The 27,754-nt window shown below is 43.9% G+C and overlaps 1 protein-coding gene and 1 pseudogene across 10 annotated transcripts in view, besides 3 other annotated features; one reads left to right on the top strand and one right to left on the bottom strand.

The window, feature by feature from the left end:
* Positions 3,301 to 3,490: an enhancer, noted in NCBI's record as "active region_26642". NCBI's record gives its function as "activates an Ori minimal core promoter by ATAC-STARR-seq in GM12878 lymphoblastoid cells {active_cell/tissue: GM12878}" and the evidence as "EXISTENCE:reporter gene assay evidence [ECO:0000049][PMID:35858748]".
* Positions 3,488 to 4,280: an enhancer, noted in NCBI's record as "H3K27ac-H3K4me1 hESC enhancer chr7:129690548-129691340 (GRCh37/hg19 assembly coordinates)". NCBI's record gives its function as "activates a minimal SCP1, AML or CMV promoter by ChIP-STARR-seq in primed H9 embryonic stem cells {active_cell/tissue: H9 hESC(primed)}" and the evidence as "EXISTENCE:reporter gene assay evidence [ECO:0000049][PMID:30033119]".
* Positions 3,537 to 27,754, top strand: part of ZC3HC1 (zinc finger C3HC-type containing 1) — a 33,166-nt gene continuing 8,948 nt past the window's right edge. For 2 of the 10 annotated variants that reach the window (XM_047420453.1, XM_011516288.4), the window contains exons 1-4: positions 3,603 to 3,767; positions 5,844 to 6,014; positions 15,441 to 15,524; positions 25,959 to 26,086. In XM_047420453.1, coding sequence (XP_047276409.1) covers positions 3,731 to 3,767; positions 5,844 to 6,014; positions 15,441 to 15,524; positions 25,959 to 26,086 — 420 coding nt within the window. In that variant the 5' untranslated portion in view covers positions 3,603 to 3,730. Of the gene's footprint in view, positions 3,768 to 4,499; positions 4,546 to 5,843; positions 6,015 to 9,078; positions 11,361 to 13,886; positions 14,038 to 15,440; positions 15,525 to 25,858; positions 25,878 to 25,958; positions 26,087 to 27,754 lie in introns of those variants that run through there. The other 8 variants (XM_047420454.1, XM_005250403.4, NM_001282190.2 and 5 more) reach the window with 7 other exon arrangements.
* Positions 3,551 to 3,860: an enhancer, noted in NCBI's record as "active region_26641". NCBI's record gives its function as "activates an Ori minimal core promoter by ATAC-STARR-seq in GM12878 lymphoblastoid cells {active_cell/tissue: GM12878}" and the evidence as "EXISTENCE:reporter gene assay evidence [ECO:0000049][PMID:35858748]".
* RNA5SP245 (RNA, 5S ribosomal pseudogene 245) lies at positions 27,591 to 27,711 on the bottom strand (annotated as a pseudogene).

Here is a 27,754-nt window from a genome sequence, read left to right as displayed (position 1 = left end):
GATGTTGTAAAATGCTTAGCAACATTCCTGGCCTCTATCACCACTCCAACCAAAAATGTCTCCTGACATTGCCAAGTGTCCTGTGGCAGGCAATATCACACTCATTTGAGAACCACTGATCAATAGTAACAGGAGGGAAGGTAAAGTACGGTTAGAGGATGATGAGAACACCATTCATCATGCGAAATAAAAACACAAAGCCGGCCGGGCACAGTGGCTCATGCCTGTAATCCCAACACTTTGGGAGGCTGAGGCAGGCAAATCACGAGGTCAGGAGATTGAGACCATCCTGGCTAACACAGTGAAACCCCGTCTCTACTAAAAAAATACAAAAAATTAGCCATGCGTGGTGGCGGGTGCCTGTAGTCCCAGCTACTCAGGAGGCTGAGGCCACAGAATGGGGTGAACCCGGGAGGCGGAGCTTACAGTGAGCCGAGATGCGCCACTGCACTCCAGCCTGGGCGACAGAGGAAGGCTCCGTCTCAAAAAAAAAAAAAAAAAAAAACCACAAAGCCAAATTTCTTGCTTACTATAAACAGTAAGAGCCATGCAGGTGAGGCACAGTCTTCAAGCAGACCAGACTACTAATCTATCAGACTTTGAGAAAGTGGGGAGTTCAGAGATTGGCAAACTTTCAAAGGTGTGTGTTAGCATCATTTGTAGAAGTGATAACTTGGGTGAAACTATTGTTGAGTGGCTGGCACTCAGAGGAGTGCTTATTGAAGTGAGTCTTTGTGATTGGCTGAATCAAGAAGTTGTCATTCATTGGGTTTACAAAAACACATTCACTGTGATGAGTAATCATGGGTCAATTGAACTTAAAACTGGCTCTGATTGCTGGTTGTTACCATGGCTAACTGTACAGTCAGTATTTTCCTAGGAGTGTGTCATTAGCAGAAAGGGAGGATGGATAAGTGGAAGTATTGAAGGTGTTTGAGGAGAGAGGTATATAATAGTCATCTATGAAGGTGGGTGCAGTGGCTCACACCTGTAATCCTAACACTTTGGGAGGACGAGGTGGGCAGATCACTTGAGGTCAGGAGTTCGAGACCAGCCTGGTGAATGTGGTGAAACCCTGTCTCTACTAAAAATATAAAAATTAGCCAGGTGGCCAGGCATGGTGGCTCACGCCTGTAATCCCAGCACTTTGGGAGGCCAAGGTGGGCGGATCACCTGAGGTCAGGAATTCAAGACCAGCCTGGCCAACATGGTAAAACCCCGTCTCTACTAAAAATATGACAAATTAGCCAAGCATGGTGGCAGGTGCCTGTAATCCTAGCTACTCAGGAGGCTGAGGAAGGAGAATCGCTTGAACCCAGGAGGCAGAGGTTGCAATGAGCCGAGATTGTGCCACTGCACTCCAGCAGGCAGCAGAGGGAGACTCCGTCTGCAAAAAAATCAAAATAAAAATAAAAAATAAATTTAAAAAAATAAAAAATAAAAATAAGTCATCTATGAAAAGTGGGATGAGAAGTGGACTAGATAAAGGTAGTATAATTACTGGGCAGAATTAAGGTCCCACTTGAAGTCAAGAATATAAAGAGACAAGTTTGTCATTTCTCTTTAGCCATATTTAGTTGTATGGGTACAGAAGCAATAATAGAGAACTTACTTCAACTGTGATTGAGGTTTTGTCAAGTAAGTACTATTAAGCAAGAGAGGTTCAAGGAAATTCAAAGGGTATTCAAGAACATGTATTTTTTAGCTTATTTATTTTGCTTTTTATTATGATATTGTCAAACATACTTAATAGCAGAAAGAATAATATAATGAATCCCACAATTCTATCATCCAAGTCCGACAGTTTAAAATTTTGCAATATTTTTTCATCTATTCCTCCACATGTTTTCCTGGATAACTTCAAAGCAAATTCCAAACATCATATCAATTCACCTATAAACACTTCAAGATGCATTTCTAATAAAGAAGGGCTTTTAAGAACCATAACTACAATGCCATTATTACATATAGTGAAATCAACAATGTTTCCTTCATATTAACTAAGTCTCAACCCATGTTCAAATTTTGCAAAGGGATGATGATAACAATTAGTAATGAATTTAAGCTGGCTAAGAAAAGAAGAAACAAGGGTGGTGGTGGAGTTAGGAAGAGCAGAAAGGTAATTGGATCAATAGGTTGCAGGTCCTGCTGCTGGGAACACTGATAGAGTTAGGAGCCCACAGGTAGGGTGCTGGAAGGGTAGGAGGTGATCCCACTTTCCTCTTTGCCCATTGTTTAGTCACATCAGTCTTCCAACCTGGGGTGTTGGAAGATTCTGTACAGATTTCTTCCCTTCAATCTCATCCGTCTCAGCTCCAGTACCTGATTTTTCTCAGGAGAATGTGCAAACTAAATTAGATTCTCCTATTATAACCTTGGTACATCCTTGGAGCACTTGTAATCATAATTTTAAAACTATAGGAAAATTTGACATCTAACTCCACCAAGATCTACAGCTTCTTTGCTCACGACTGTCATTGCTAGTGCCTAGAGACTATCAATAGGATGCTTTCGGCCGGGCGCGGTGGCTCATGCCTGTAATCCCAACACTTTGGGAGGCCGAGGCGGGCGGATCACCTGAGGTCAGGAGTTCAAGGCTAGCCTGACCAACATGGTGAAATCCCGTCCCTACTAAAAATACAAAAAAAAAAAAAAAAAATTGCTGGGCGTGTTGGCGAATGCCTGTAATCCCAGCTGCTCGGAAGGCTGACGTAGGAGAATCGCTTGAACCCGGGAGGCAGAGGTTGCAGTGAGCCGAGATCGCGCCATTGCACTGCAGCCTGAGCAACAAGAGCGAAACTCCATCTCAAAAAAAATAAATAGGACGTTTTCAATAAATATTTGTTGGACTAAGGAAGGAGTATCAATAGTGTCAAATGCCACAGACTTCTAAATCCATCCATAACACGGTTTCCAACAAGGATTCTAAATTATTTGCTCTCCAATGAGGGTCACCATTTCCTCGCTTGTAGAAAGGTGCAACTTAGGAGGGTCGTATGAGTTAATTTATTTTTATTTTTATTTTTTTTGAGTCGGAGTTTTGCTCTTGTCGCCCAGGCTGGAGTGCAGTGGCGCAATCTCGGCTCACTGCAACCTCCGCCTCCCGGGTTCAAGCGATTCTCCTACCTCAGCCTCCCTAGTAGCTGGGATTACAGGCGCCCGCCAGCAAGTCCAGCTAATTTTTGTATTTTTGGTAGAGATGGGGTTTCACCATGTTGGCCAGGCTGGTCTCGAACTCCTGACCTCAGGCGATCCGCCCACCTCGGCCTCCCAAACCGCTGGGATTACAGGCATGAGCCACGGCGCCCGGCCGTATTAGTTAATATTACTTGAAAATTAAGTTGAGCCCCTCATCCCTGCTGAATTTGGACTGACAGCGTTCTAAAAATCTCTTATCAACCTAAATATGCTAGTTGATAAAGGAAACGATTAATCAAGATTGTCCTAAACAGTACAGCCCTCCTTAAGCTCGCTCTAAGGTTCTAAAATGATGAGAAAAGGCGTGGGCCCCGCGGTTAGACTTTCCCAGCCAGGCTGCCTCAAGAGGCGGATATTAACCTCCCAGGACGGAAGTTCCGGAGCCTTCAAACTCTCGGGGAAGCAACTCGGCAGCGGACCAAGATGGCGGCGCCCTGTGAGGGACAAGCGTTTGCCGTAGGGGTTGAAAAGAATTGGGGTGCAGTAGTTCGCTCCCCAGAAGGGACCCCCCAGAAAATCCGGCAGCTGATAGATGAGGGGATTGCCCCGGAAGAGGGAGGCGTGGACGCGTGAGTTCACGAGTTAACCCTGGGTCCGGCGTTGGAAGATTGAAGAAGGCTTGGGGAAGGGGTGGCGGGTTGGGGGAGGTTCCCCTCGGTCGGCGACTCGGGCAGTGGGGATGGCTTCTTAGAATCTGAAAGAAACTCTGGTTACTATGTTTGATCGGCTTTGATCTTCCCCTCGGGGTGTACCAGATTCCCAACCGCAGCCGAAATTTTGTCATCGGACATTATTTTTGGAAGTAAAGAGGACCGTTAACTGAATGAGTTCACTTGACTTCTCTTAATTGGGGATTCTTAACCTTTTTTTGTGCCGTGGACCCCTTTGGCTCTCTGGAGAAGCTTATTAACTCTCAGAATATTTTTAAATGCTTAAAGTAAATTACATAGGATTATAAAGGAAACCAGTTAGATTGGAATGTAGTTATCAAGATGGTAAAAGGAAAAAGTTACGCAGTAACAATGCTTTTTATTAAAGAGTCCATAATATCTAGTAGTATGTGTTGTCAACCATAATTTTGAAGTAGTGATGAGCACAAAGGTATTTGAAGACATGCAACCACCATAATGTGGGAACATTATTTCCATTGGTGACAAATTAGCAGGTACTGCTAATACTACTATGGTGTTTTTACCTTCATTCATAATTGAAGAAAATGCTAAATCTTGTCATTTAGAGAGAAATAAATGTCATTTTTACCCATCCAAGTTTATGGATGCTGTGAATTTTTTTTGGCCTAGAACCACACCCGCTTGAGGCTCTCTATGAATCTCTGAGAGTCTTAGAGTAAGTTTATTTCTTTTGAGCTATAATCGTTGATGTAATCCTATTTTTATTAAAATAATGCCTGTCGCCGGGCGCGGTGGCTCACGCCTATAATCCCAGCACTTTGAGGAGGCTGAAGCGGGCAGATCACGAGGTCAGGAGATCAAGACCATCCTGGCTAACACGGTGAAACCCCATCTCTACTAAAAATACAAAAAATTAGCCGGGCGTGGTGGCCCGCGCCTGTAGTCCCAGCTACTCGGGAGGCTGAGGCAGGAGAATTGGTTGAACCTGGGAGGCGGAGGTTGCAGTGAGCCGAGATCGCGTCACTGCACTCCAGCCTGAGTGACAGAGTGAGACTCCGTCTCTAAATAAATAAATAAATGCTTGTCTTTCAGCAATTCCCCAGGCACTGTTGAAATGCCTTCCACTGAAAATGAGAGAATTGCTTTGCTGAGTTTTTTTCTCCCTGATTTTTTTTTCATGAAATCTCCCGAAGATCTTTGATTCGAATTTTCTAATTGGTTCTTTTTTTTTTGGAAGGAGTGGGTATGAAAGGTCCCTCCAGGTAGAAATATCAAAATTGTTTTTTCTGCTGTTAAGAGTCGAATTTCTGCCAGGCGCTGTGGCTCACGCCTGTAATCCCAGCACTTTGGGAGGCTGAGGTGGGCCAATCACAAAGTCAGGAGTTACAGACCAGCCTGACCAACATGGTGAAACCCCGTCTGTCCTAAAGATACAAAAAATTAGCCGGGCCCACGCCTGGTGGTACGCGCCTGTAATCCCAGCTACTGGGGAGGCCGAGGCAGGAGAATTGCTTGAACCTGGGAGGTGGAGGTTGCAGTGAGCCGAGATCGCACCGTTGCACTCCAGCCTGGGCAACAGAGCGAGACTCCATCTCAAAAAAAAAAAAAGTCGAATTTCTGAAGAGATTCAAATTGTATAATGCATACTTGAAGTCTTGAGTCTTATTTTCTGTCTACTAAAGTTATGCCAAATACTTGTGGAGAACAGTGAGTGAGTGAGGAGAATAGTTTGCTAGGATTAGTGGAGCCCTGTAGAGGTAGAAATTGAAGTTTAGATATGGGTAAACTGTAAAGAGTTTTGAATGCCAGACTGAAAAATTTGGATTTTATTTAGTAAGTATTATAAAACCATTGAAAATAATAAGCTGAGGAATGACATGAGTAAAATGATTTTTAGGAAGCTTAAAATCCAGCGTTGGTGTGATTTATGATACGATGTGTAGAGAAGCTAGATAACATTTAAGCAGAGGGTACTGTGAAAGGTTTACCAACAGTTTTGCCACTTTATATTAGGAAGGACACGTCTGCCACATCCCAGTCAGTTAATGGATCACCCCAAGCGGAACAACCTTCATTGGAATCTACAAGCAAAGAAGCCTTCTTTAGCAGAGTGGAAACATTTTCTATATCCTTTTTTAGTTCATGTGAATTGCACTTTCTGCCTGCTTCTAGAATTCCTCCAAGGTATTACACCACTTACTGTGATGCTTTAAACTTAAGAATAAAACCTTGGTAAGAAATTATATAGGAAAGTCAGCATCCTAATATGTTATCACTCAGAGGGACAGTTGAGGTTATCTAACCTTTTCTTTTTACAGAAGAAAAAACTAAGAGCCTGAGAAAAGAAGAAATAATAACTAATACTTGTATATAGTATGTTTTTGTATATATTATCACATTCGATCTTGACCTTAAACCTATGAAAATAAGCATTATTATTATACTTGTTTTACAGAAGAGGAAACAGTTTGGGGCAGGTTATATGACTTGCCCAAGATGAACCTGTTAGCAAATGGCAGATCCAGGATTATAATCTAATGTTTTTTAGATTATTAGAGACTACACTACTATAATGTCTCTTTCTAGATTTTCCTTTGTGTATTAGCTACCTATTGCTGCATAGCAAATTGCCCCAAAACTTAGTGATCTTAAAACAACAAACAGTTTTTATTTCATAATTTCTGTGGATCAGGAATCCAGGCATGGCTTAGCTGAGTCCTCTGGCTCAGGGTCTCTCACAGACTGCAATTAAGGTTGGTCAGGGCACTGTCATTTCAAGGCTCAACTAGGAAAATTGTCTCAAAAGAAAAATAAAATAAAATAAAACAAAACAAAACAAAATTAGCCAGGTGTGGTGGTGCTCACTTGTAATCCCAGCTACTCAGGAGTCTGAGGCAGGAGAATAGCTTGAACCTAGGAGGCAGAGTTTGCAGTGAGTCGAGATCGCGCCACTGCATTCCAGCCTTGGCAGCAGAGCAAGACTCCGTGTCAAAAAAAAAAAAAAAAAAAAAAAACAACTAGGAAAGGGTCCACTTCCAAACTCAGTCATTGGCATACTGTTGGCAGGATTCATTTACTTGTGTCTGTTGGACAGAGGGCTTCAGTTCTATACTGGCCATTGGCCAGAGATGTCCCTCCCCACTTGGTTCCTTGCTATGTGGGCTTCTCTAAAGGAAAGTTCACAACTTGGCAGCTGACTTCCATCAGAGTGAGCAAAGGAGAGAACAAGATACAAGCCAGCCTCATTTTGTAATCTAATCTCAAAAGTGACATCTCATCATTTTTGTCATATTTTATGCATTAGAAGCAAGTCACTAGGCCAGCCCATACTCAAGAGGAGCAGATAACACAAGGGCATGAATATAAGAAGGCAGGGATCATTGGAGCCACCTTAAAAGCTGTTCACATCACCTTGCTTTGAGAGAAGTCTTTAGTAGCTCCAGCTGCTTTTTTTTCCTGCCAAGTTTGCACCCCTACCCGTGTGTGTGTGTGTGTGTGTGTGTGTGTGTGTGTGTGTGTAGACAAAGTCTTGCTATGTTGCCCAGGCAGGTCTCGAACTCCTGGCCTCAAGCAATTATGCTGCCACAGCCTCCCAGAGGGTTGGGAGTACAGGCCTGAGCCGCCAAACCTGGCCCCGAATTTCTGTCTTATAAACTATTAACAAGGTCTTGACCTAGGAATCAAAAATTAACAAAATCTCAGAATTTAAGACCATAAAATAAGCCAAATCACACACCTTTTTTTGATCAAGAAACTAATACTGGCTAGGCATGGTGGCTTACGCCTGTAATCCTAGCACTTTAGGAGGCCAAGGTGGGCGGATCACCTGAGGTCAGGAGTTTGAGAGCAACCTGGCCAATATGGTGAAACCCTGACGCTACTAAAAATACAAAATTAGGCCGGGCGTGGTGGCTTACACCTGTAATCCAAGCACTTTGGTTTGCTGAGGCAAGTGGATTACGAGGTCAAGAGTTTGAGACCAGCCTGGCCAACATGGTGAAACCCTGTCTCTACTAAAAATACAAAAATTAACCAGGCATGGTGGCACATGCTTGTAGTCCCAGTGACTCGGGAGGCTGAGGCAGGAGGATTGCTTGAACCTGGGAGGCGGAGGTTGCAGTGAGCCGAGATCATGCCACTGCACTCCAGCCTGGGCGACAGGAATGAGACTCCATCTCAAAAAGAAAAAAAAGAATGCACAGTTAGCTGGGTGTGGTGGCATGCGCCTGTAATCCCAGCTACTCAGGAGGCTGAGGCAGGAGAAATTGCTTGAACCTGGGAGGCAGAGGTTGCAGTGAGCCGAGACCATGCCACTGCACTGCAGCCTGGGTGGCAGAGAAGACTCCGTCTCAAAAAAAAACTTATACTGGAATATTACCCAAATGAAAAAGTAAGCACATACCAGCTATCACATTGCATGTTTCACGAAGAGACATTAAACGTTATGTCATAAGTTTATTTAGAAACATACCTAGTGTGCTATATGCCTGACTTCAAGAATTTGATCCATTGTTTTGTTTCCTTTTTTCCCTTCAACTTTTTTTTTTTTTTGAGATGGAGTCTCATTCTGTCATCTAGGCTGGAGTACAGTGGTGCCATCTTGGCTCACTGTAACCTCCACCTCCTGGGTTTAAGCAATTCTCCTGCCTCAGCCTCCCAAGTAGCTGAGATTACAGGCGCCCGCCACCATGCCTGGCTAATTTTTTGTATTTTAGTAGAGATGGGGTTTCACTGTGTTGCCCAGGCTGGTCTCAAACTTTTGAGCTCAGGCAATCCTCCTGCCTTGGCCTCCCAAAGTGCCAAGATTACAGGCATGAGCCACCATGCCTGGCCTTTTTTTCTTCAACTTTTATCTTCAGTTCCGGGGTACATGTGTAGGATGTGCGGGTTTGTTACATAGGTAAACGTGTGCCATGGTGGTTTACTGCACAGATCAATCCATTGCCTAGGTATTAAGCCCAGCATCTGTTAGCTATTCCTCCTGATGCTTTCCCTCCCCCAACTCCCACCTCCAACAGGCCCCAGTGTATGTCGTTCCCCTCATGTGTCCATGTGTTCTCATCATTCAGCTCCCACTTATAAGTGAGAACATGTGTTTGGTTTTCTGTTCCTGTGTTAGTTTGCTGAGGATAGTGGCTTCCAGCTTCATCCACATCCCTGCAAAGGACATGATCTCGTTCCTTTTATGGCTGCATAGTATCAAAGAGATTGTGAGCTCAAACATCCATCTTAAGCCGTTGATGTCTTTTTTTTTTTTTTTTTTTTTTGAGATGGAGTCTTACTCTGCCACCCAGGCTGGAGTGCACTGGTGTGATCTTGGCTTACTGCAACCTCTGCCTCCCGGGTTCAAGCGATTCTCCTGCCTCAGCCTCCCAAGTACCTGGGATTACAGGCTCCCACCACCATTCCTGGCTAGTTTTTGTATTTTTAGTTTCACCATGTTGGCCAGGCTGGTCTCAAACTCCTGAAATCAGGTGATCCACCCACCTCAGCCTCCCAAAGTGCTGGGATTACAGGCGTGAGCCACTGCACCTGGCCCAGTTGATGTCTTATAAAGGAAAGTGCAGCAAATGAGATCCAAAGTACAAGTCATCATAATTAGTAATTGCCACTTGTTTTCCACTGAAAATGGCAAATTCTTCTCTGGGCTGTCATTTTGTCTCCTATAGACCATAGAGGTTGTGAAGCTGAGGATACTCTACTCCAACATGGCCAACATGGTACTGATGGGTAGCTCTGTGAAAGGAGCAGAGACTGAAGGCGGAAGAAATGTGGTACCACACCACGTCTTCTGCTTTTCACTACTTTATTCCCTGTGTGCAAGGACAGAAAGACTTACATGGTAATTTTTTACAGTGATTCTTAAAAATTTTTAAATTACAGACTTACAGAAAGGTTGCAGAGATTACAAAGAACCTTTTTTCCCTGAGCTATTTGAAAGTAAGCCACCAAAGTGATGTCTTACTACTCCCAAATATTTCCTACAAACAAGGACTTTGTCCTACATAACCAGAATGCAACCATCAAAATCAGAAAATTGACATTGATAAATTACTACCCTCCAATCCTCAGACCCCAGTTTTTCCATCAGTTATACTAATAACATTCTTTATAGTTGAAGTATCCAGTTGAGAATCACACAGTACATTTAGTTGTCATGTTGCTTTATTCTCCTTTAATCTGGAACATTTCCTCAGTTTTTTCTTGAATTTCATGATCTTGATACTTTTGAAGATTACAGAACAGTTATGTTGTAGAGTGTATGTCAATGACATTTGTTTGATGTTTCTTTGTGATTAGATTCAGGTTATGCAGGAGTGTCGTGAAGCAATGCTGCATTCTCATTGCATCCTGTCAGGTGACACGTGATTTCTATTTATCCCTTTATGGTGATGATCACTTTGATCACTTGATTAAGGGAGTATCTGGCATTTCTATTGTAAAATAACTCTTTCCTCCTTTGTAAATAAAAAGTACTTTGTGGGGAAGTTCTTTGAAACTTTGTAAATATCCCAGTCCTTATCAAACTTTATGTAATTGATTTATTTGTAGTAACATGGACTCAATATTTTCTTTGTTATTCAATGGGTTATAATTCATTACTATCATTATATATTTTGATACTCCAGTTGTTCCTTATTTAGTCAGTGACATCCCCCTCAGGTTGGCTTCTGTGGCCTTTTGACATGTCCCATAACCCATGACCTCTTTATTGCTTTCAGGAACAAGTTGTTCTCGGCTTATCTTGTATTTTTCTTGCCCCATCCCTGGAATCAGCCAATTTTACAAGGATCCTTGGCTGTTTTTCAGTGGAGAATGTTATTTAAAAGCTAAGATCTGAACTGGGCATGGTGGCACACCTGTAATCCCAGCACTTTGGGAGGCCCAGGTGGGAGAATTGCCTGAGCCCAGGAGAGACCAGCCTGGGCAACATAGCAAGATCCTGTCTCTATATAAATGCATGAATGAATGCCAAGATCTGGGTGCAGGGAGAACTCATAGCTAGTGGGATGCCACTGTTCTCAGGCCCTCTCAGAGGAAAAAGCTAGAAAATATATATGTTTATGTACACACACACAGACACACACATTCACATGTATACACACATCTAAATTTACATCCATTTCTCTCTATATTTTAAAAAACGATGAGTTCCTGCTGACATCTCCAGTTGCAATTGTACATCACAGGATTCATTCTAGTTTTCTCCTTTTCCCTATTTTTCCCTCCCATATTCAACACTGTGAAACATAATTTGTTATCCTTAATATATTTACTACTTTGATCAATCCCCTATATGTGCTTAATCTCCCATTTCTGCCATGCTGCCATCCTTTCTTGCATGAATCTCTCGTCACCCCATTTAGGTCCTAGCACTCCACACTTGGCTGCCCGCAAGTGAATGCCTGTTACATACCACTTTGGTTCTGACACCCTGGGCTGAGCTGCCTCTTCGCAGCCTCCTGGCTCTGACATCTTCCTTGTTCACCGCCTAATGGCTTTAAGACTGAATTGCTCAGGAAAGGGAAGGTATTTTAACCATCCTTCTACCATTATTTCTTGCATTAAATCTTGATTTTGATAAAATATTTAGATCCATTTCCTTTTTGTTCATTGGCTATAAATTGATCAACATTTTGGATATGATGATTATTTATTTAACCATTACTTTTATTCTAGATAATCATGGCTCCTTTAATATTTGTATCTGAATTTTGTTTTCCAGTCTTCATTCTTCCTTTGCTGATGTTGGAATGTCTTTCAAATTCCTATATCCCTTTATAAAAATGTATAACTTTCCTGCATCTTCTTTCATATTTTATCCTTTTTTTTTTACTGTGCTTTGTGAAATAAGAGCTCTTCAGGTAGAATTTTTCTTTTGAGACAGAATCTTGCTGTGTTGCCCAGGCTGGAGTGCAGTGGTACCATCTCAGCTCACTGCAACCTCCGCCTCCCAAGTTCAAGCGAGTCTCCTGCCTCAGCCTCCCCAATAGCTGGGATTACAGGTACATACTACCACACCCAGCTGATTTTTGTATTTTTAGTAGAAATGGGGTTTCACCATGTTGGCCCAGGCTGGTCTCAAACTCCTGACCTCAAGTGATCCGCCCGTCTCAGCCTCCCAAAGTGCTGGGGCCACCGCACCCGGCCCACATAGATTATTAAAAACTGAAGCTGGGCGAGGTGGCTCATACCTGTAATCCCAGCACCATGGAAGGCCGAGGAGGGCCTCAGGCGTTCAAGGTCAGGCATTCGAGACCAGCCTGGCCAACATGGCAAAACCCCTTCTCTATTAAAATTACAAAAATTAGTGGGGCATGGTGGCGCACGCCTATAATCCCAGCTACTCGGGAGGCTGAGGCAGGAGAATCGGTTGAACCCAGGAGGCAGAGGTTGCAGTGAGCTGAGCTCGTGCCATTGCATTCCAGCCTGGGCAACAGAGCAAGACTCCATCTCAAAAAACAAAACAAAACAAACAAAAAAACTGAGCATTTAATATTAAGGAGTAATAAATGTTTTAGGATACCTTTCCAAATACATACTTACAGATGCTTTTAGCTGTGTAAAACACATTCTCACACATCCCCATTGATACTAGCAATCAAATTTTGGAGGGATAATTTTATTGCCTTTATTCTTTGGAAAGTAAAAATGGATGGGGTACAGTAGGAGAGCATAGGTGAATGGCAGAAAATATTTCTGTGTGTTTAACTTTGACTATCTCTTATTGTTTAGGCATATCCCAGTACTTTCACTGGTGCCTTTAAGTTCCTAGTATTTCAGATTCAGTGAAAATTAATGGATGCTATATTCTACCAGACAACCAATAATAAACTTTTTTTTTTTTTTTTTTTGAGACAGGGTCTCATTCTGTTGCCCAGGCTAGAGGGCAGTGGTGTGATCGTATCTTACTGTGGCCTTGATCTCCTGGGCTCAAGCCATCCTCCTCCCTCAGCCTCTCAATTAGCTGAGACTACAGGCATGCACCACCACATCCCGCTAATTTTTTGATTTTCAATAGAGATGAGGTGTCGCCGTGTTGCCCAGGCTGATCTTCAACTCCTGAGCTCAAGTGATCCTCCCGCTTCAGCCTCCCAATGTGCTGAGATTACAAGCATGTGCCACTGTGCTTGGCCAATAAACATTTTAAACACATAAAATACATAGTGCTTCTTCAAGAATAAGTTAATAACTTTTCCCCTCCACTTATTACTTAAATGACCTTCATCATTCTGTGAAGTATGGGCCTGTGCATTAAAAATAGTTTTTACCACTTTTCTCATTGCCTTTCTCCTTAATGTTTATTCCTATATACATTAAGAATGAGTTGGGCCGGGCACAGTGGCTCACGCCTGTAATTGCAGCACTTTGGGAGGCCGAGGTGGGTGGATCACGAGGTCACAAGTTCAGGACCAACCTGGCCAAGATGATGAAACCCTATCTCTATTAAAAATACAAAAATTAGCTGGGTGCAGTGGCAGATGCCTGTAATCCCAGCTACTCGGGAGGCTGAGGCAGGAGAATCACTTGAACCCGGGAAGTGGAGGTTGCAGAAACCGAGCCGAGACTGTGCCATTGTACTCCAGCCAGGGTGACAGAGCAAGACTCTGTCTTGAAAAAAAAAAAAAAAAAGAATGAGTTAAGATTGTAATTTATGACTTATTCATTTTAATATACTTGCAGTGTTCACCTGTGATTCCAGCACTTTGGGAGGCCAAGGTGGGCAGATCATCTGAGTTCAGGAGTTCAAGACCAGCCTGAGCAACATGGTGAAACCCCATCTCTACCAAAAAATACAAAAATTAGCTGGGTGTGGTGGCGTGCACCTGTGGTCCCAGCAACTTGGGAGGCTGAGGTGGGAGAATTGCTTGAACCTGAGAGGGTGAGGTTGTAGTGAGCTTAGATCGTGCCACTGCACTCCAGCCTGGGAGACAGAGTGAGAACTTTTCTCAAAAACAAAAAAAAAACAGTATGTGTATACACACACACACACACACACACATACACACACATATATATATATATTTGCTGTGTTGTTTTTCTTAACATGGATACTCTTTGAAATGGGCAGGTAAGCCCTTTGAGCTGTCTCCACTCGTCTGTGCAAAATATGGCTGGGTCACAGTGGAATGTGATATGCTCAAGTGCTCTAGCTGTCAAGCTTTTCTCTGTGCCAGTTTACAACCAGCTTTTGACTTTGACAGATGTAAGTATAAGGTACAAATTACATTTTTCTCCACACTCAAATATATACTATCCTGGTTTTCTGGGGGGGGAAAAAAGGTCATTTTAGTTTGATCAAAAAATGCGTACTTCAATCTTTTTTTTTAATCTTTTTTTTTTTTTTTGAGATGGGGTCTTGCTTGTTGCCCAGGCTGAGCAAGATGTAATAGTGCAATTACAACTCACCACAGCCTCAACCTCCTGGGCTCAAGCGATCCTTCCTCAGCCTCCCAAGTAGCTGGGACTACAGGCGCAGTGCCACTACACCTGGCTAATTTTTGTTTTTTTTTTGTAGAGGTGGGGTTTTACCAGGTTGCTCAGGCTAGTCTTGAACTCCTGAGCTCAAGTGATCCGCCCACCTTGGCCTCCTAAAGTGCAGAGATTACAGGGGTAAGCCATAGTGCCTGGCCAGTCTTTTTTTTTTTTTTTTTTTTTTGAGACGGAGTCTCGCTCTGTCCCCCAGGCTGGATGGAGTGCAGTGGTGCGATCTTGGCTCACTGTAAGCTCCGCCTCCTGGGTTCACACCATTCTCCTGCCTCAGCCTCCCAAGTAGCTGGGACTACAGGTGCCTGCTACCACGCCTGGCTAATTTTTTGTATTTTTAGTAGAGACGGGGTTTCACCGTGTTAGCCAGGATGGTCTTGATCTCCTGACCTTGTGATCCACCCGCCTCAGCCTCCCAAAGTGCTGGGATTACAGGCGTGAGCCACCGTGCCCGGCCTTTTTTTTTTTTTTTTTTTTTTTTTTTTTTAAACTAAGCTAGCTACTGCAGCATGGACTTGACTTAATGTAATCTAGGTAACAGCAGCATGTTTACTTTATTATTCCAAAATGTATACTTCTAGACGAAGAGTGACAAAGGACTTTTATGAAGTCTCACACTTTGGAATGCTCTGCTTTATAAGATACATGGGGGCCGGGCGCAGTGGCTCACGTGTGTAATCCCAGCATTTTGGGAGGCTGAAGTGGGTGGATCACATGAGGTTGGGAGTTTGAGACCAGCCTGACTAACATGGTGAAACCCCATTTCTACTAAAAATACAAAACACTACTCAGGTGGCTGAGGCAGGAGCATCGCTTGGGCCTGGGAGATGGAGGTTGCAATGAGCCGAGATTGCACCACTACACTCAAGCCTGGGCGACAGAGCAAGACTCTGTCTCAAAAAAATAAAAAATAAAAATAAGATACATGGTATCTCCTTTGTTGATCTTAGGATCTCAATTTAAAACCTGTTTTGTGAAAAATATTAAGATTATGTACTTGATAATATTTTCACATTTTAAAATTCTCTTATTTTTAGTTAAATCTCTGCTCTTAGAGGCCATTCATTGGATTTTGAATCTATATAGTGTTTTTTAAGGTGTTGCTGTTTATGTGGATTTCAGATAAGCAACGATGTGCTGAGCTGAAGAAAGCCTTGTGTACTGCCCATGAGAAGTTCTGTTTCTGGCCAGACAGCCCATCCCCAGGTACTTATTTTTGAGAATTCCTGTTCACCATTTTTCCTTCATCATTGCATTTCTAATATTGTCTGTTTGTGAAAACCTAGTCTTTGAACTTTCTTTTTCTCCTTTTCTTTTTTTTTTTTGAGATGGAGTTTCACTCTTGTTGCCCAGGCTGGAGTACAGTGGCGCGATCTTGGCTCACTGCAACCTTCGCCTCCCGCGTTCAAGCAATTCTCCTGCCTCAGCCTCCAGAGTTGCTAGGATTACAGGCGTGCGCCACCACGCCCAGCTAATTTTGTATTTTTAGTAGAGATGGGGTTTCACCATGTTGGTCAATCTGGTCTCGAACTCTTGACCTCAGATGATCCGCCCGTCTCGGCCTCCCAAAGTGCTGGGATTGGGATTACAGGGGTGATCCACTGTGCCCGGCCTCTTTTTCTCCTTTTCTATTTGCATTATTTCCAGAAAAACTTATATTCACTTGTGTTATTACTTACCTTCATGAAGTGCATTTGACATGCTTAAGGCTTTAGACATATATATGCATTATCCCATTTAATCCTTACAGGGGCCCTGGGAGGTAGATACTACCAACCCAGTTCTTTTGGTTTTTTTTTTTTTTTTTTTTGAGACAGAGCCTCGCTCTTTCACCCAGGCTGCAGTGAGGTGGCACGATCTCAACTCACTGCAGCCTCCACCTCCGAGGTTCAAGCGATTCTCCTGCCTCAGCCTCCCGAGTAGCTGGGATTACAGGTACACGCTGCCACACCCTGCTAATTTTTAAAATTTTTTGTAGAGATGGGGTTTCACCATGTTGGCTAGGCTGGTCTCAAACTCCTGACCTCAAGTGATCTGCCTGCCTTGGCCTCCCAAACTGCTGGGATTACAGGCATCAGCCACTGTGCCCGGCCATAACCCAGTTCATTTAGGTGAGGAAACTAAGAATCAGAGGTCTTAAAACCAACTAGAGAGAAGCTATAACTAAGTTTAATCTGATTTCAAACCCTCCGCTTTTCCCACCACACCAAGCAATGCCATGTTCTACCTAGGTTTCCTGTAGAGGGAGTACTAACAGCAATAATGGTGGAAGTTAAACAGGGTTCATTTGCTGAAGAAGACTCACAGGACCCCAAGTGAGAGTGATCACAAATCTGCAGTTTATTGCAGTAAAACAGTACACTATCACAGCAGCACTGAAGTAAGGGTGTCATTACAGCCACAGGCTGCCTGTCTGGGAAGGCCAGGTCCAACCTCCTATTTCCTGTCTATATAAGGGCCATGAGAGGACATACTCTCCCTTGAATCAGGAACTACTGATGTGTGCACAGAACACTTTGGAATAAGAGAGCCCAAAGTGTAATCTCAACTGGGTTTTTAAAAATATTTTGTTCTTTGGCCAGGCACAGTTGCTCCCAACCATAATCCTAACACTGGGAGGCCAAGACAGGAGGATTGCTTGAGTTTAGGAGTTTGAGACCAGCCTGAGCAATAAATATAGTAAGACCTCATCTCTATGAAAAATAAAAAATATTTTGTTGATCACATAGGCATATTCCTGCTGAGTAAACAGCTTCAACAGCAGAGCCCTCTGGTGGGGAATCTAAGAGCAAGTATAAAAAAATTCTTTAGACCCATAGTTAAAAAGCAACACTATTCATCTGTATATTTCATGCCTTGACCAGGAATCAGTGCCATGTAGGTATATTTTTTATTTCAGTAGGATGGCAGGCTAATTCCAGGGTCACTGATGGCTAAGAATATTCCATGATTTACCACTAAAAGGAGAAAATAGATTGAAAATAACCAGAGATTCCCCTCTACCTTTGATCAATGAAAGGGTGGTAGAAAAGGGATTATTAAATAAAATTGTTTAAGTGAAGATGATTGTATAATAAGGATTTCCTGCTGTTGAAATAGCTAGGATTTACTAGTTATTTACCTGTATTGTATAACAAAACTTGGTCCTATGAGGATTTGATTCCATCCTTGTCTAGTGCACTCAGTCCAAGTTTGTTTGTTTGTTTGTTTGTTTGTTTTCCTTGAGACGGAGTCTTGCTCTGTCGCCCAGGCTGGAGTGCTGCAATGGCTCAGTCTAGGCTCACTGCAACCTCTGCTTCCTGGGTTCAAGCAATTCTCCTGCCTCAGCCTCCCGAGTAGCTGGGACTACAGGCGCGTGCCACCACACCCAGCTAATTTTTGTATTTTTAGTAGAGACAGGGTTTCACCATGTTGGCCAGGCTGGTCTTGAACTCCTGACGTCAAGTGATCCGCCTGCCTTGGCCTCCAGAATTGCTGGGAGGCCTGTAGGCGTGAGCCCCCGCGCCTGGCCGTCCAAGTTTTTAAGGTCTGCCCAGGGCTCTATTGGTGGTTCCCAACTCTTGTCACCGTACATTTTGCTTTCCTGATCTCATTCATAACTTCAGCTACCACCTCGGAGACCTCTAATTCCTATCCAGACCTCTCTTTTGAGCTTGACTCATATTTTCATCTACCTTCTAAACATTTCCACTTAATATTATAGGTACCTGGAACTCAATGTGTATAAAACTGAACTCTTCATCTTATACCTAAAACTTTCTCCATCTTGGCAAATGGCACTGACGTCCCATCCAGTTGTCCTAGCCAGAAACCTGAAAGTCACTTTAGATGCTCTTCTCTATGGTCACCCACTTTGACCTATCCATTCTACCTCCTACATGGATCTTAGATATAACCTTTCAATTATATGATCCCTTGGTTTGGTTCTTTAACATTCAAAGGACATTTGTGTGGATAAAAGAACACTCAGTTATTTCACTTTATGCTTAAATTTATTAAGCAAAACTAATAATTTTGAAGGTAATTTTTTTCTAACATTTGCCAATAATTATAAGCTAAATTAAATTTCTTTAAACATTTTATTTTATTTTATTTTATTTTTTATTTTGAGATGGAGTCTCACTCTGTCACCCAGGCTAGAGTGCAGTGGCGCGATCTTGGCTCACTGCAACCTCCGCTTCTTGGGTTCAGGCAATTCTCCTGCCTCAGCCTTCCGAGTAGCTGGAATTACAGGTGCCCGCCACCATGCCTGGCTAATTTTTCCCTCCTGAGTTCAAGCGATTCTCCTGCCTCAGCCTCCCAAAGTGTTATTTTTAGTAGTGACGAGGTTTCACCATTTTGGCCAGGCTGTCTTGAACTTCTGTCCTCAGGTGATCCACCTGCCTCTGCCTCCCAAAGTGCTGGGATTACAGGCGTGAGCCACCACTCCCAGCCTTACCTTGACTTTTAAAGCCAACTTTGTTCTTTCTCCAACTTTTCCCTTGGATTGCAAATTCATGCAGAGTCAACAAGTGCACCAAAGAAAATCCCCTGAATTGCGGAAAAAAAAAAAAAAACAGGCATATTACTCTTCAGAAAAATCAAAGCTAGAATGTTTATCTATTAAAATATCTCTCCCACCTAGGCTCAGATCAAATGGCTTCACTGTTGTGGCTCAGAAAGGGGCAGACTCCTTCCTTCCAAATCACCCCATCACAGAACACCCATTGCTAAGTAGCAAGCCAGAGGGTTAGACTGGATGCCCCATAAGAGGAGACTTCAAAGTGTTGAGACCTTCAAGTGTAGCCTGTGGAGGAAAATCTTAATCTGTGGGTGACAAAATAAGTGCTTCAGGACCACTTGCTCCAAATCCACATTCTGCAATACAGTCCAAGAAAAAAGGCAAAGTGGCGAGGCGTGATGGCTCACACCTGTGATTCCAGCAGTCTGGAAGGCCAAGGCGGGAGGACCACAAGGTCAGGAGTTCGAGACCAGCCTAGCCAATGTGGTGAAACCCCATCTCTACTAAAAATACAAAAAAATTAGCCGGGCGTGGTGGCACATGCCTGTAATCCCAGCTACTAGGGGATGTTGAGGCAGGAGAATCGCTTGAACACTGCACCCCAGCCTGGGCGACACAGTGAGACTCCATTAAAAAAAAAAGTGCTGATATATTTGGGGAATGCTGAATAGTTTCACAGGGCTCACTGCAACCTCCGCCTCCCAGGTTCAGGTGCGAAACTACGAGATTTTTTGAAGAAGGAAGCCACTTCACTCGGCTGTTTTTTTTTTTTTTTTTTTGAGACAGTCTCACTCTGTTGCCCAGACTTGAGTGCAGTGGCTTGATCTCAGCTCACCACAAACTCTGCTTCCCAGGCTCAAGCGATTCTTCTGCCTCAGCACCCCCGAGTACCTGGGATTACAGGTGCATGCCGCTACCACCTGGCTAAGTTTTGTATTTTTAGTAGAGACGGGGTTTCACCATATTAGCCAGGCTGGTCTTGAACTGCTGACCTCAAATGATCCACTCTCCTCGGCCTCCCAAAGTGCTATGATTACAAGCGTGAACCACTGTGCCTGGCCTCTAGGCTGAATTTGAAAGACCAGCAACAGTGGGTAAAAGCAAAAGGCCAAAGGATGGTACATTTGGGGAATGCTGTAATAGTTTCACAGGGCTGGCTCACAGTGTCCCTGTGGGGAGAATAGAAGAGAAGACTAAAGTGTAGACAGTGGCCAAACCATGATTTTATTAAATGTATGTGATGAGAAGCTACGAGATTTTTTGAAGGAAGAGATGTTATAGATAACATGAACTAGGGTAGAGTACAAACTGCAAGGGGTAAGTCTTGAGGCAAAGAACTAAACTTAGAAGACATAAAAGGACTTAAAGTAATAACCCCAGCCAGGCATGGAGTCTCATGCCTGTAATCCCAGTGTTTTGCAGGGCCAAGGTGGGAGGATCACTTGCGGCCAGGAGTTTGGGACCAGGCTGGGCACCCTGTCTCTACAAAGAAAAAATTTTTTAAAATTAGCCAGATGTGGTGGCATACCCCTGTCATCCTAAGCTACTCGTGAGGTTGAAGCAGGAGGATCCCTTTAACCCAGGAATTCCAAGTTATAGTGAGCTATAATCATGTCACTGCCTTCCAGCCTGCATGACAGAGCAAGACCCTGTCTCTTTTTTTTTTTTTTTTTTTTTTTTTTTTGAGACGGAGTCTCGCTCTGTCGCCCAGGCTAGAGTGCAGTGGCAGGGTCTCGGCTCACTGCAAGCTCTGCCTCCCGGGTTCACGCCATTCTTCTGCCTCAGCCAACCCAGTAGCTGGGACTACAGGCGCCCGCCACCACACCCGGCTAATTTTTTGTATTTTTAGTAGAGACGGGGTTTCACCGTGTTAGCCAGGATAGTCTCAATCTCCTGACCTCGTGATACGCCCGCCTCGGCCTCCCAAAGTGCTGGGATTACAGGCTTGAGCCAAAATGCCCTGCCGACCCTGTCTCTTAAAAAAAAAAAAAAAGGAAATGAAAGAAAAACAGGATAGAATAATATGCGGCATTAAATTGGGAAAATAAATTATAAACTCAAGGTGTTAAAATAGAAACCTAGCAGTGATGGCTACATGGATGTGCACGTTAAAACTTATCAAACATGTGCAGTTTATGTCAATTAGACCTCAGTAAGGCTGTTTAAAAAAATATCTTTTCCAGTTTTGCTATTAGAAGGGGCCCAAATGTAGTAACAGCAGCACTTCTGCCCACAATTCTTTGCATTGTTAGCAACCAGATTTTGGTCCCTCATTTTAGTCTACTGTGATTAAAAGGATCAGGCTCTTTGGAGAGTTGCTGATTCCATGTCTTGGGGCAAGGACAATAAATCAACTTGGATCCAGAATATCCTGTTGTTGCTAGAAAGCAAGAATGCTTTCAAGAATGCTACAGACAGGCCAGGCGTGGTGGCTCACGCCTGTAATCCCAACACTTTGGGTGACCGAGGCAGGCAGATCACGAGGTCAGGAGTTTGAGACCATCCTGGCTAACACAGTGAAACCCCATCTCTATTGCAAATACAAAAAACAAGCCAGGCATGGTGGCACGTGCCTGTAGTCCCAGCTACTGGGGAGGCTAAGGCAGGAGAATTGCTTGAACCTGGGAGGCAGAGGTTGCAGTGAGCCGGGATCGTGTCACTGCACTCCAGCCTGGGCGACAGAGCAAGACTCCGTCTCAAAAAAAAAAAAAAAAAAAAAAAAAGAATGCTATAGAAATGCTACAGACAATGCTAAAAGAATAGAATAGCCAGCTTAAAGGAGATCCATTACCCCACTTGTGAATATCTGAAACTCAAATAAGAGAATAATCATTACAATTAAACTAAAATGCAGCCAGGGTAGTCCCAGCACTTTCGGAGGCTGAAGTGGGCAGATTGCTTGAGTCCAGGAATTCAAGACCAGCCTGGACAATATAGTAAAACCCCATCTCTACAAAAAATACAAAAAATTAGCTGGGCATGGTTACGCATACCTGTGTTCCCAGCTACTCGGGAAGCTGAGGTGGCAAGATCGCGTAAGCTTGGGAGGTTAAGGCTGTGGCGAGCCATGATTGCACCACTGCACTGCAGCAAAGGAAAAAGATGGTGTCTCTCTCTATTGCCCGGACTGACCTTGAACTCTTGGGCTCAAGTGATACTTCTGCCTCAGTATCCAGAGTAGCTGGGTTTACAAGTGCCACCTGGCTAATAATAATTAATTTTAAAAATTAATTTTAGTAAGCAGGAGAGCACTGATATATTTGTAAGTATTATTTCTTCTATCAGGTAGTCCATCCCTCCCTTCCTCCCTCCCTCCTTCCCCTCCTTCCCATCTTTCCCTTCCTTCCCTTCTTTCTTTTCCTTCCCTTCCTTTCCTTCCCTCCCCTCCCTCCCTTCCCTCCTTCCCTTCCCCCCTTCCCCTCTTACTGTCCCTCCCTCCCTCCCTCCTTCCCTTCCTTCCTTCCTTCCTTCCTTCCTTCCTTCCTTCCTTCCTTCCTTCCATTTCTTCTATCAAGTACACGTTTCTCTCTCCTCTCTCTCTCTCTCCCAGGCTACAGTGCAGTGGCACAATCATAGCTCACTGCAGCTTTGAATTCCTGGGCTTAAGCAATCCTCCTGCCTCAGCCTCCTGAGTAACTATGACTACAGGCGTATGCCACCACATCCAGCTAATTTTTTTTTTTTTGGTAGAGATGGGGTCTCACTATATTGCCCAGGCTGATCTCAAACTCCTGGCTTCAAGTGATCCTCCTACCTCAGCCTCCCAAAATGTTAGGATTACAGTCATGAGCAACTGTACCTGGCCTCAAATTCATGTTTCTTGTCTCAATCTGTGTAGGATGTCTTCAGTGGGGATGGTGGAGGAAGGGCATCTGAAAATCTTCTATGAGAGCAAAAAGAACACTTACAAAAATTATCAAAATCAACTTACTTTTTTTTTTTTTTTAGAGGGAATCTTGTTCTGTTGCCCAGGCTGGAGTGCAATGGCGTGGTCTCGGCTCACTGCAACCTCCACCTCCCAGGTTCAAGCAATTCTCCTGCCTCAGCCTCCCGAGTAGCTAGGATTACAGGCACCCACCACCATGCCTGGCTAATTTTTGTATTTTTAGTAGAGACAGTGTTTCACCATGTTGGCCAGGCTGGTCTTGAACTGCTGACCTCGTGATCCGCCCACCTCGGCCTCCCAAAGTGTTGGGATTACAGGCGTGAGCCACTGTGCCCGGCCTCAAAATCAACTTTCACAGGACGATTGGACAGAGATTTCTTTAAATGCCTGAACAAATAAGTCCCCCAGTCTTGCCAAGGAGCTCTGTGTGTGGTGGGGGGAGCACACCTTCAGTAGTCAAGCAGGCAGTTTGCAGTTCTGTGTTAGCCTTCACTTCCTGCTTGTGCAGAACCTCAGCATCAGCCAGAGATGAGAGAGCTTAGGGCCTTTTCAGGTCTTTGCTGGGCATGTGTATAGCTCTATACCTGCACATGTCCTTCTAGATTCCAGGGAATATGTCAGAGCCTTTCAAGCCTGCCTATGGACATTTCATTTCCCAGCTTTTAAGGTTTTTGGTCAGCTTGTTACTTGCTCCAACTCATACTGCTGCCTCAAAGCAACTGTGATGTTAAACAGTTGCCAATGATCATTTTTGAAAACCTGTCTGGGGAAAAGGGTGTTCTCACTGCGACAGTATAATGTTCTAGGCAACTGCCACACAGATCAAATAATGGTGGTTCTCTGGAATGGGGCTTTGGAGGAGCTCCACCTCTTTTCTGTGCTCTCCGGTGACTGCTAAGCTACTGGTTTTCACCATGATTGTGGGGATGTTGGTTTTCTGTTTTTTTTTTTTTTTTTTGAGATGGAGTTTTGCTCTGTTGCCCAGGCTGGAGTGCAATGGCGCAATCTCAGCTCACCAAACCTCCGCCTCCCGGGTTCAAGCGATTCTGCCTCAGCCTCCCGAGTAGCTGGGATTACAGGCATGCGCCACCATGCCTGGCTAATTTTGTATTTTTAGTAGAGACGGGGTTTCTCCATGCTGGTCAGGCTGGTCTCAAACTCCCGACCTCAGGTGATCCACCCACCTTGGCCTCCCAAAGTGCTAGGATTACAGGTGTGAGCCACCACGCCCCGCTGGGATGTCGGTTTTCAAGGCTACCACAGAGCTGAGCTGGGGAAGGGAAGATGGAAACAAGAGTTAAAACATCACAAAATGGGCTGGGCGCAGTGGCTCACGCCTGTAATCCCAGCACTTTGGGAGGCCGAGGCAGGCGGATCATGAGGTCAGGAGATCGAGACCATCCTGGCTAACACGGTGAAACCCCGTCTCTACTAAAAATATAAAAAATTAGCCAGGCGCAGTGGCGGGCGCCTGTAGTCCCAGCTACTCGGGAGGCTGAGGCAGGAGAATGGTGTGAACCCCAGGAGGCGGATCCTGCAGTGAGCCGAGATCACGCCACTGCACTCCAGCCTGGGCAACAGCGAGATTGTCTCAAAAAAAAAAAAAAAGATTATGAGTGACTTTGTTGAGCAACTAAATGTCAATTTGAGGCTGAGAGAAGACCAGTGACTCGAGTGGCTTCCTACTTTTTAGACGATCAGGCTAGGATGACATGTTCTCTCTTCACTTTTCCTATGAATCCCTTCCAAAACGTGTTTTCATTCTTTATTAAAGCTGATTCAGGGCTGGGCGTGGTGACTTACGCCTGTAATCTCAGCACTTTGGGAGGCCAAGGTGGGTGGATCACCTGAGGCCAAGAGTTAAAGATCAGCCTGGCCAACATGATGAAACCCTGTCTTTATTAAAAATAGAAAAATTAACCAGGTGTGGTGTCAGGCACCTGTAATCCCGGCTACTCAGGAGGCTGAGGCAGGAGAATTGCTTGAACCTGGGAGGCAGAGGTTGCAGTGAGCCGTGATCGCACCATTGCACTGCAGCCTGGGCGACAGAGCAAAAACTCTGTCTCGGAAAAAAAAAAAAAAAAAAAGGCTGATTCAGTGTAGCTTCTACTTCATTCTAGGCCTACTAGACTGACCTCTTTAGGAAGTAGCTTAGCAAGGCCTTTCTGCACTCATCATTTGCCTTTGTACCAGTGTACCAAGTATGCAGTAGATGAATTGGGTAATGCCAGAGATAATTATACTATAGTATATAATCAGTTTCCACACTGCTTAGATTTCAGGCAGATTCCTTCTTTTCCAACTTAGGTATTACCAGTAGAATTCCTAATTGTATACTTTATTTACTCTGGTACCCAGTTAAGCTTCACCTTACAATGCAAGCCTTTTTGTATCTCTTGTGTAGACTTTAGGAACATGCCATTTTTTTCATTCTTAGCTCACAGTAAGTTATAACTTGGTAGTTATAAAATGATGGTTCTTTAAGACTTTTCACCTATTTAAGCATCCATCTCCACTAACTCTGTTCTGTTTTCTCTTTCTTAAGGTAACAATTTCACACATATATAGAAGTACACGGAATAGTATAAATAATGAAACCCCATCACTCAACTTCAACAATGATCAACTCATGGCCGATCTTGTTTCTTCTATATTCCTAACACCTAACACCCTGCCCCTCTGCATTGTTTTGAAGTTCAGTCCCACATATGCCATTTTATCTAAATATTTCAAAATATAAAAAATATGGATTCTACTTTTTAAACATGGTCTCAGTAGTATCATTACAGCCCCATCAAAATGAAAAACAATAATTTCCTGACACCATCAAATAGCTCATCAATTTTACTATATTTCCTCAATCATTCAATATGTGTTTTTTATTTATTTTATTTTATTATTATTTTTTGAGACAGAGTCTCTCTCTGTTGCCCAGGCTGGAGCACAGTGGCACGATCTCAGCCTCATTGCAACCTCTGCCTCCTGGGTTCAAGTGATTCTCCTGTCTTAGCCTCCCGAGTAGCTGGGATTACAGGCACGCGCCACCATGCCTGGCTAATTTTTTGTATTAAAGGAGGCTGAGACAGGGGTTTCTAGGTTGGCTAGGTTGGTCTTGAACTCCTGACCTCAGGTGATCCGCCCGCCTCGGCCTTCCAAAGTGCTGGGATTACAGGTATGAGCCACCATGCCCAGCCGTGTTTTTTATTTTTTACAGTTTACACCAATATAATCTTCCAATTTACTTTTTCCACAGACCGATTTGGGATGTTGCCCCTGGATGAGCCTGCTATTCTTGTTAGTGAATTCCTAGATCGTTTTCAAAGCCTTTGTCACTTGGACCTCCAGCTTCCTTCCCTAAGGCCGGAGGACTTGAAAACTATGGTGAGTTTTTCCTGACTAGGCTGCAATGGCCTCCAGTTGTTGCCAGCATTTATACCTGAAGCATTTCTTTTAATGACAAGAAGATGCAATTGCTGTGAAGAGAACTGCTTGTCTGTCTCTCATCTGACCTTTTCAGTCTCCACCAGGAAGGTGACAGTTGAGAGTTCCATTTGAATGTTTAGGTATGTTTTTTTAAATGGCATAGATTCAATTTAACATATATGTATATAAGCAGTTTATTTGGGCCAAGTTTTAGGGCTGTAACCTGGAAGCATAGATTCAAGTTTGCCCTGAATATATGCTTCCCATAAATTCAGTTTTATCTTGATTTATTACTTAAATTATTATTATTATTATTTTGAGACCGAGTCTCTTTCTGTCACCCAGGCTGGAGTGCAATAGTGTAATCTCGGCTCACTGCAACCTCCACCTCCCAGGTCCACGCAATTCTCCTGCCTCAGCCTCCTGAGTAGCTAGGATTACAGGCGTCTGCCACCACACCTGGCTAATTTTTGTATTTTTAGTAGAGACGGGGTTTCACCATATTGGTCAGGCCGTTCTCAAACTCCTGACCTCAGGTGATCCACCTGCCTCGGCCTCCCAAAGTGCTGGGATTACAGGCATGAGCCGGCACACCCAGCCTACTTAAACTATTTAACAGAAAATACTGAAATGTGACTGCATATGGTTTATTGCATATCTTTTTTTTTTTTTTTTTTTTTTTTTTTTTTTTTTTTTGAGACAGAGTCTTGTTCTGTCGCCAGGCTGTAGTACAGTGGTGATCTTGGCTCACTGCAACCTCCGCCTCCTGGGTTCAAGCGATTCTTCTGTCTCAGCCTCCCAAGTAGCTGGGATTACAGGCACGTGCGACCACGCCTAGCTAATTTTTGTAATTTTAGTAGAGACAGGGTTTCACTGTGTTGGGCAGGATGTTCTAGATCTCCTGACCTCGTGATCCGCCCACCTCGGCCTCCCAAAGTGCTGGGATTACAGATGTGAGCCACCACACCCGGCCATCATTTTTCAAAGAAAGTAACAAACTCCTTTCTCCTTGTGAGTAGAAATGTTTAAATGCTGTAGTCAGCCCGGGCACAGTGGCTCATGCCTGTAATCCCGGCACTTTGGGAGGCTGAGGTGGGTAGATCACCTGAGGTCAGGAGTTCGAGACCAGCCTGGCCAACATGGTGAAACCCCGTCTCTATTAAAAATACAAAAAATTAGCCGGACATGGTAGTTTATGCCTGTAGTCCCAGCTACCTGGGAGGCTGAGGCAGGAGAATTGCTTGAACCTGGGAGACAGGTTGCAGTGAGCCGAGATCGCACCATTGCACTCCAGCCTGGGCAACAAGAGCGAAACTCCATCTCAAAAATAAAATAAATGCTCTAGTCAATCTGTACTTTGAAACTGAATATTTACTGTTCCATTTAATCACCCTATGGGTACTCCATGAAGACAAGCTTTACTGTAGGAAATAGTAGCCTCTTCAAATTAAGAGAGTGGTATGGGTTTTAGCATCAAACTGTTAACCTCCCAAAGTCCCCTCCAAGTACTAACCAGGCCTGACCCTGCTTAGCTTCCGAGATGAGATGAGACTGGACGCGTTCAGGGTGGTATGGCCATAGACTGAAACTATTAACCTCTGATGCTTATGAATATAACCCTGTCCC

The sequence above is a fragment of the Homo sapiens genome, chromosome 7 (assembly GCF_000001405.40).
Source record: "Homo sapiens chromosome 7, GRCh38.p14 Primary Assembly".
NCBI lineage: Eukaryota > Metazoa > Chordata > Mammalia > Primates > Hominidae > Homo > Homo sapiens.
This window is presented reverse-complemented; position numbering and strand designations above follow the sequence as displayed.